Here is a 7764-nt window from a genome sequence, read left to right as displayed (position 1 = left end):
CAGCTTTGCCCAGCCTTAAGTGCAGATTAGGGGTTCAAACCCTGGCTCTGCCACTTACTATCTGCATGCCCTTGGGCATGGTACTTGCCCTTCTCATGCTGAGTCTCCTCGTCTACCACATGGAGATAATAGCAGCATCTCGGTTGCAAAATCAGGGTAATGGCAGGTCTTAGCTCAGAGGGTCTGCTGGCAGGTGGATAATTTAAATGAGTGACTATTTGTAAATGGCTTAGATCCGTGCCCGGTTATTTGATAAAAGCATGTTCCCAGTGAGGTGCAATATATTTAGAAGTAGCATGGTCTTCTTTCTTTTGGCTTGTCAATGAGGTTCTCCTTCTCTGAAAGGGATGTGTTCAGGGGTAGCTGAGAGATTTTCTGGAGCCTCAAAAAACAACCAACCCCATGCTCTTGGCTTTCTGGTTGTCCATGCAGACTGCAAGAAACACTATGTGGGGTCTATGTTTCTTTTGCACTTTTGACAAATCCTTACTTGAACATTTTAGTCTTTTCTTAACCTGGCTTCAAGGCTTGATCCAAAAGGCATTAAGGAGGGGAAGAGCCTCCTTGACTGCCAGCCACTTGGCAGGGCCCTGGGAACCAGAGCTCTCACAGGAAGATGAAAGTCCCAGGGGTAGGGGAGGGGCACAGTTTCTTTCCACATTTTTAAAGCATGAAGGTGCTTGCTCTACCAGGCTCCAGATAATTTTCCATTTTCCCAACCTATTCACAAAATTCCCCACCAGTTTCTATTTTGAGTGTTGACACCATGTTCTCGGCCTTAACTAATCACCAGGAACCTCGGTTTTTGTCTTCTGAAAACCTCCAGGAACTTCAAAAGCCACCCACAGAATACAAATAAAGCCAGAGGTTTAAGATATTCTGGAAACGAAATTCTTAGGTAGAAAGGCAGTTTATGGAGTCCATAAATATTTAGTAGTTACAGCGGCAAAAACTAACATGATTTTGAAGAGCAAGGAGCAGAGGCTCAAGGTGGGAGAGGAGAGAGGGGAGTATAGTTTTTGCAGTTGTTCAGTTTAGTTTGAGGATTTTGAAAAAAACAAACACACAGACACCCAACAAACTCGTTGTCTCTGATTGTCATGAGTCACCCATTCATTGTGAATGCAGGTTATTAATTTGGGGGGGGGTTATAAGGCTGAATCACTATTTTTGTTCTTTTTATACAGGGAACTTAAAGCACTTAACCATCAAAAGAGGCTTTTACGTGAATAGCTTGTGGCCAAGGGATAACATTAAAAATTCAAAAAGGAAACTTCGTTTGATATGCCCAAGTAAATGGGAAACTGTCTTGGGCCTCGTTTCGCTCGATTCTTCTATCTGGGATTTTGAGCCCCTTGAAAGCCACAGGTGGAGAGAGCTCCTTCCGGGGTCCAGGCCCTCTCGGCCTCCGACAGCCGAGCAGCTCGGCTTTTCCAGGCCTCCAGTGTGCGCGGCGCTAGCCGTCGGACCCAGCGTCCCGCGGAGTAGCGCGGATTCCGCGTGATCCCCTCCAAACAATGCGGACCTCGCCGCTCATTCTGGCGTCCGGTGACACCCGAGACTCCCCGTCTGACGTTAGTATCATCTCTTCCAGCCTGGGTTGAAGGCGTCCCCTGAGGACTCGTCGCAGCCTGGGCTCCCTGCTGGGACGCGACTCCCGCGCCTCTCGCCTGCCTGGCCCTGGGCGTGCACCGCCGGGGAAGAGGCCGGGACGGGGTCGCCGGGCTGTGCCATCCGCAGACCAAAGCCGCGGCTCGGGCTCCGGAGGAGATTCGCTGGGCGACCACCCAAGGCAGCTCCCTCCGTGCGCGGTCTCCCTAAATGGACCAGCCCTGTCTTTACAAGAAAAAGGATTTTAAAAAAAGAAGAAAGAAAGAAAATAAAGAAAGGCGAGCGCAGCTGAGACGGCATCAGCTGCCTTTCTTCCCACACTCGCCGGTGTCACACCCATGAATCACCTCCAGACGGGGCGGCAGCTTCCCTAATTAGCCTGGAGACGCTCAGGACCCACAGGGTTATAAAACAACAACAATAACAAACTTTTACTTTTATTCAAATGCACACTTCCTTCCCTCGGCGCCCACGCCCGCCGCAGGCCACTGACTTAGAGGGCGGATCCGGAGGTCACCTGGAGTCCCGGGTCCCTCTCACCGACGCGCGCGGGTGCCCTGGGCCAGTCCCGGACTGACTTGCCACCACCTCCGGGTCTCCGGTGCCCCCCGGCCCTCCCGGAGCCCCGACAGCGCCGCTGCGCGGACAGGCCGAGGCGGGTCGGGAGCGGCGCGGGCTTGGGAGGGAGCGCTGGGCAGCCGGGCCCGCACCCCGATTGCCCTCCCCGCACCCCGATCGCCCTCCCGCCTCCCGCGGGGCGTCCAAGGCCCAGGCCGGCGCCTGCGCCCCCCGCCCCGAGGTCTCGGCCCCACTCCGCCGGGCCAGCTGCGGAGGCGGCGTTGGGAGCTGTGCGCCGCGGGGGAGGTGCGCGCGGCGGCCGGCGAGGGGAGCTGAGCGGCGTCCGCCCCCGCCGAGCCGAGCGGAGCCGAGCGAAGCCGGCGCGCCTGCAGCTGGGAGCTGGGAGCTGGGAGCGCGCCGGGCGCAGGGCCGGGCCGGCCGCGGGAGGGTAGTGTCAGCGCCCGCGTCCAGCTCTTCGGCCGCAGACCCGGGCTGTCTGGAGGCCGCGCGGCCACCTGCTGCGTCGCCCCGGCTTTGGGCTGGGGCTAGACGCGCACCGCGGCGGGAGCAGCCCCGGCTCGCCGCACCCCGCGGAAGGTGCCCTTCTCTGCGCGTCTCGCCGAGCCCGGGCCACGCTCCTGTCCCAGGTACCTCGAGGGGTTTGAAATCGCGTGTCCCAAGGCAGGCGTGGGTCGAAGGCGGGGTGGGCGCGGGGGCACCGGGCGGAGGTGGGGCGGGCCGGGGCTAGGGGGTCGAGGGCAGAGGCCGTGAAGCCAGGGGCCCCTCGGACCCGGAGAGGCGCCACCCCCGCCGCCGAAGCCCTGGGCAGCTCCTGCGGCCGAGGGGGAGCCGGACGCGCTCGTGCAAGTGCCCAAAGTTTCCCTTTGCTCACTTTGCTGGACCCAACTTTCCACTGTGAGGCAAATCCAGCAGTTTACGCGCCAGGAAAATGAAAGAGGAGGGAGAGAAGGTCCTGCTCGGTTGAAATTGCTAGCATACGAGGTCTTTATGCCCACTGTCTCCACACGCAGTTGCAGGGGAAAGGAGTGGACACATTCACGAACTGCCTTATGCTTTAGGTGATGGTTTATTTAACAGGTTTTAGGCTTTGATTACACGCCACCCGGGAGGGATTCTGGAGTTGATCTAAGAAGTGTTCACATTTTTAATCAACAAATATTTGTTGAACAGAAGCTTCATCATAGGCAAAGATTCGGTATGAAGTTCACATGTGATCAGAGCATAATAGTCACTTGCTTTTGAAATGCAAGTCAGAAGCAGTGCGGCTGTGTGAATTTGACTCCGTGTAGGTGCAAACCGCCTGCAGGCATCAGGTCCTGTTGACAGTTTTGAGCCAGGAAATCCAAGTGGAAGACAGGCAGCTGTGTTACCCTTTTAGAGCCAGCTCACACCTTCCCAAACTGGTCTTAAGGTATCCTACTAGGTTATTGGAGCCTGCAGGCTTCCTTCATTTGCATATACCATAGACTAGAATCTGTGTAGACCCCTGGTATTTTCCCTGGAGCTCGGTCCCACGGGCGCACACCTGGAATGATGGAGCACTGTGGTCATCCTAAGAACCTATTGAGGTTATAAAATTGTGAGGAGAAAGATATCTAGAGACAGTGTCGTGTGGAGCTGGTGGAGAAGGTTGAGCTGGGCTGGTTTCTGGGCTCTGCCCCTATGCTGTGCCATCTTGGAGTCTGAGGCAACAGGAAAAATCAGGAACACTGATCCTGTCTTTATTTAAAAATGTGAGATTTTGTACATTAGGGATTTTTGTATTTGTTTTGATGTTTTAAAATATTGTAATAAGGCATTTATCTGACTGCATTTTTGGTACCCCCTTAAATTTTGTGCCTGTAGTGAGTACCTGGCTTGCCTGAGTCTGATTCTGGACCTCCTCCACGAGTCAAGTTCTTACTCTCTAAGCATCTGTTTCCTCACTTATAAAATAAAGTGTACCATCCATGGATGCTGCGCAGCTCAGCTGCTGCATAGGATGCGTCATGTGGGGCTCACTAACGGGTGGCTGTCCTGCTGAGATCACTGCTCTGCTTGGCCCTCTTAGGCTAGTTAAGATGAATCTTGGCTGGGCGCGATGGCTCACACTTGTAATCCCAGCACTTTGGGAGGCCGAGGCAGGTGGATTGCCTGAGGTCAGGAGTTCGTGACCAGTCTGGCCAACGTGGTGAAGCCCTGACTCTACTAAAAATACAAAACAAAAATAGCCAGGTGTGGCGCCTGTAATCCAGCTACTCGGGAGGCCGAGGCAGGGGAATTGCTTGAACCAGGGACGTAGAGGTTGCAGTGAGCTGAGATGGCACCACTGCACTCCAGCCTGGGCAGCAGAGTGAGGCTCAGTCTCAAAAAAAAAAAAAAAAAAAAAGGATGAATCTTGACCAATCTCAGTGCACCATTCAGGGAAATGAGAGCAGTGATAGTGCTATGGTTTGAATGTTTGTGTCCCCCCAAAAATTCATATGTGGATTCCTAATCCTCAAGGTGATGGTATTAAGAGATGAGGCCTTTGGGAAGTGATAGGTCATGAATGGGCTTGGTGCCCTTATAAAAGAAGCGCAAGGAGCTCGCTCGTCCCTTCCACCATGTGAGGACACTGTGAGGAGGCGCCTTCTATGAGGAATGGGCCCCCACCAGACACCCAACCTGCCAGTGCCTTGATCTTGGACTTCCAGCCTCTGGAACTGCAAGGAATAAATGTCTGTTGTCTATGAGCTGCCCGGTTTATGGTATTTTGTTATAGCAGCTGAAATGGACTCAGCTGGCCAGCCCTCAGGGATGCTCTTGGTTAAATGAGAGAATAGATGTGAAGGTACCAGGCCTCCAGGAGGGTGGGTTTTCTGTGATGTCCTGGTGGGCCTGGATTTGACTTAGCTACCTTGCAGTCACTGGCTCTTCCCCTGCAGGCTGGCTCCGTGCCTTGTCATGCAGTTGCTTGTTGTGCACATAAATACTGCTTGTGTTGCAGGTGGACTCTCTGGGTGGAAACCTGCCCAGGGTTTATTGTGGAAAGGTGCAAAATTTTGTGTAAGTGAGCTTGATTTTGCTGTCCCTAGTGAAGTCCCTTGGTTCCCTTTTTCATATACTCAGTTCCCAGTGCATGGTTCTGTTTTTCTAGAGCCTAATTCAATGGTATTATTTCAGTCACTATTTAGCTTAAAGGTAGCTTCGTCCCTGGTGGGAGTCAGTCTCTCAGTCTTTCCACGTTACTCCTCGGGGACCCCTTTTCGCTACAAGTCACCCCTGGGCACCAGGAGAGGGTTGTAGTCCCATCAGAGCTTGAGGGGAGTGGCCCTGACTGGTCATCTGGTCCTCTTGCGGTGCCCCAGTGAGTCCCTTTCCCCTCCACATGGAGCCTCCGGCTCACATTTCCATCATTGTCCAGCTGGTGTCCCCAGGGTGAGCCACAGCGGGGACCTGGCTCTTCCATTGGCCCAGAGGTCCCCATGCTCTGAGGTCTCTTCTGGGCCCCTATTGGGCACCTGGGAGCCCGCCCAGGTTGTGCGGAACCGTACTAGGCCTCCATTTCTACTGTTCTGAGCTCGGCCTTCCCTGAGTTCCCACAGGAAGCAGGACAAGAACGCCCCCTCAGCCCCACCCCTGCTCCTCCAGGTGGGGTGCACAGCGGTAGGTGCTCAGTGCCTGGGTTCATGTCCCAGACCCAGAAGGCATTTTTCTACCTGTGGGGCAGGGCTGTTTCTTAGGTTCTGTCTTCTGTCCTCTGCACATCATGGCTTTGGGGAGAGCTCTAGGCTCCAGCTTCCAGGCTTTGCCCTTGATACATAAAAGGAAGTTTAAAATATCTCTGTATTCACCACTGTCTTGGGTAAAGTGTGCTAGGCCTTTTTATTACCTGAAAAAGACTGGGAGAGCCGTCGGGGCTGCTGGAGACTTCAGTCAGGGCTGGGAGAAGGCAAGGAAGGAGTAGCTGGCAGCGGCGTTGCGGGGATTGAATGGCTTTCTGCGTACACAGCCCGGCCCACTGTCATGGGGATGGGCGTCTTCCAAACCACCGTTCCTATTTATGCTGTTGCTGCCTCATCATCAGAGCAACCCCCTGTGTGCTTGGCACTCACTACAAGCCGGAAAGGTCCGAGTCATAATTGCTGCTTCTGGTGAATAAGATGAGCCCTTGTCAAGCCTGTACCTGCAAGCCTGAGCCCTGGATTTAGTTCACACTCAGTTCACACTGGATTTGGAAGGGGAGGTAATCAGGGGAAGCTTCTTGGAGGAGGTGGAACTTAAAGTAACAACTTGGCCACATGGATGTGAGATGCAAGAGAACTGCCTTTGAAAGGGAGACAGGCCGGCCCGGCCTGGTGTTCACAGGCCCACCTGTGGCTTGATGCTGGCTGGTGTCCCGCCGATCTCTTCTGTTGTCTAGATACCTGCAAACACCGGTACTGCTGGTGTCACCTGTGGGTAGGACAACACAGACAGCCAGCGTTCAAAATCCTTCTGTTTTCCCCAAACTGAACGGAAATCAGGAGAATTCTCATCAAATAATGCTCTTTCTAGATCTCTGTGTCTGGAAAATAACTTCAAAACTTTAGGTCAGATTAAGAGTCCTTAAGACACATTTATGATTTTGACAAATTACCTTGAAGATATTTGTATTGCTTTTAAGGGGGTCTAACCCATAATCCTGAGCCAAGTGGATAATGAACTAGAGATGCTGTTTCTGTCGGTGCCCAGTGAATTTAGCAGTGAAATGATGGGAAATGATAAGACAGGCATGTGATGTAACAGGGCACCTCCTGAGCAGCGTCAGCCACCAGCTTTTCACAGGCTCAGATACCATTCTGGAGGAGACTGCTGGTAGGAAGGATTCTCAGACATTTTTCTTATGATCTGGGTATCTGTGAAAGGAAATTATGGAAGTTCGTTTTGAAAAGTGCAGATGGAAAGGTATTTATTTGCTCAGGCCTTCTCCTGGCTGTGGTGTGTGGGGCTGGTTTTTAACTGTGTGTAGCTGAAGAACTTCCAGAAATATTTGCCTTAACCTCTGAGGTCCATACACCAGTCTCTCCATGGTTTCTGCCCTCAAATTCTCATGTCTGTGGGAAGCACCAGAACCATTAGCTGCGGGGTGTGCAGTTTCCAAGAAACTACTCTCGGAAACACTGCCCCATATGTGGGAGGAGAAAATGTCAGAGAGGTTGCCTTCTTTTTAAAGCAGTTGGTCCAGTCAAGGTCAGGGGAGTCAGGCTCTAGTGTCTTTTTTTTTTTTTTTTTTTTTGAGATGGAGTCTTGCTCTGTCGCCCAGGCTGGAGTGCAGTGGCGCGATCTCTGCTCACTGCAACCTCTGCCTCCTGGGTTCAAGGGATTCTCTTGCCTCAGCCTCCTGAGTAGCTGGGATTACAGGTGCCTGTCACCACACCTGGCAAATTTTTGTATTTTTAGTAGAGACGAGGTTTCTCCATGTTAGCCAGGCTGGTCTCGATCTCCTGACCTCAAGTGATCCACCCACCATGGCCTCCCGAAGTGCTGGGATTACAGGCGTAAGCCACCATGCCCAGCCCAGGCTCTGGTTTCTGCTGTGCCACTTAGAAGTCCTGCAACCTCAGTCACCCC

The 7764-nt window shown here is 53.1% G+C and overlaps 1 protein-coding gene across 5 annotated transcripts in view, besides 1 other annotated feature; it reads left to right on the top strand.

Annotated features, from left to right (window-relative positions):
* The first annotated feature begins 2528 nt into the window (after nt 1-2528).
* The window catches only part of CRACDL (CRACD like), a 142380-nt gene continuing 137144 nt past the window's right edge, over nt 2529-7764 (top strand). For all 5 annotated transcript variants that reach the window (NM_207362.3, XM_005263926.4, XM_017003972.2 and 2 more), the window contains exon 1: nt 2529-2816. The gene's annotated coding sequence lies outside the window, so the exon portion shown is untranslated. The remainder of the gene's footprint in view (nt 2817-7764) is intronic.
* Nucleotides 3162-3362: a silencer, noted in NCBI's record as "peak3796 fragment used in MPRA reporter construct". NCBI's record gives its function as "represses an SCP1 promoter by STARR-seq MPRAs in K562 erythroleukemia cells {active_cell/tissue: K562}" and the evidence as "EXISTENCE:reporter gene assay evidence [ECO:0000049][PMID:32103011]".

Source organism: Homo sapiens, chromosome 2 (assembly GCF_000001405.40).
Source record: "Homo sapiens chromosome 2, GRCh38.p14 Primary Assembly".
In the NCBI taxonomy this organism is placed as follows: domain Eukaryota; kingdom Metazoa; phylum Chordata; class Mammalia; order Primates; family Hominidae; genus Homo; species Homo sapiens.
Note: the sequence above shows the minus strand (reverse complement) of the source record. Positions and strands in the feature narration are given on the sequence as shown.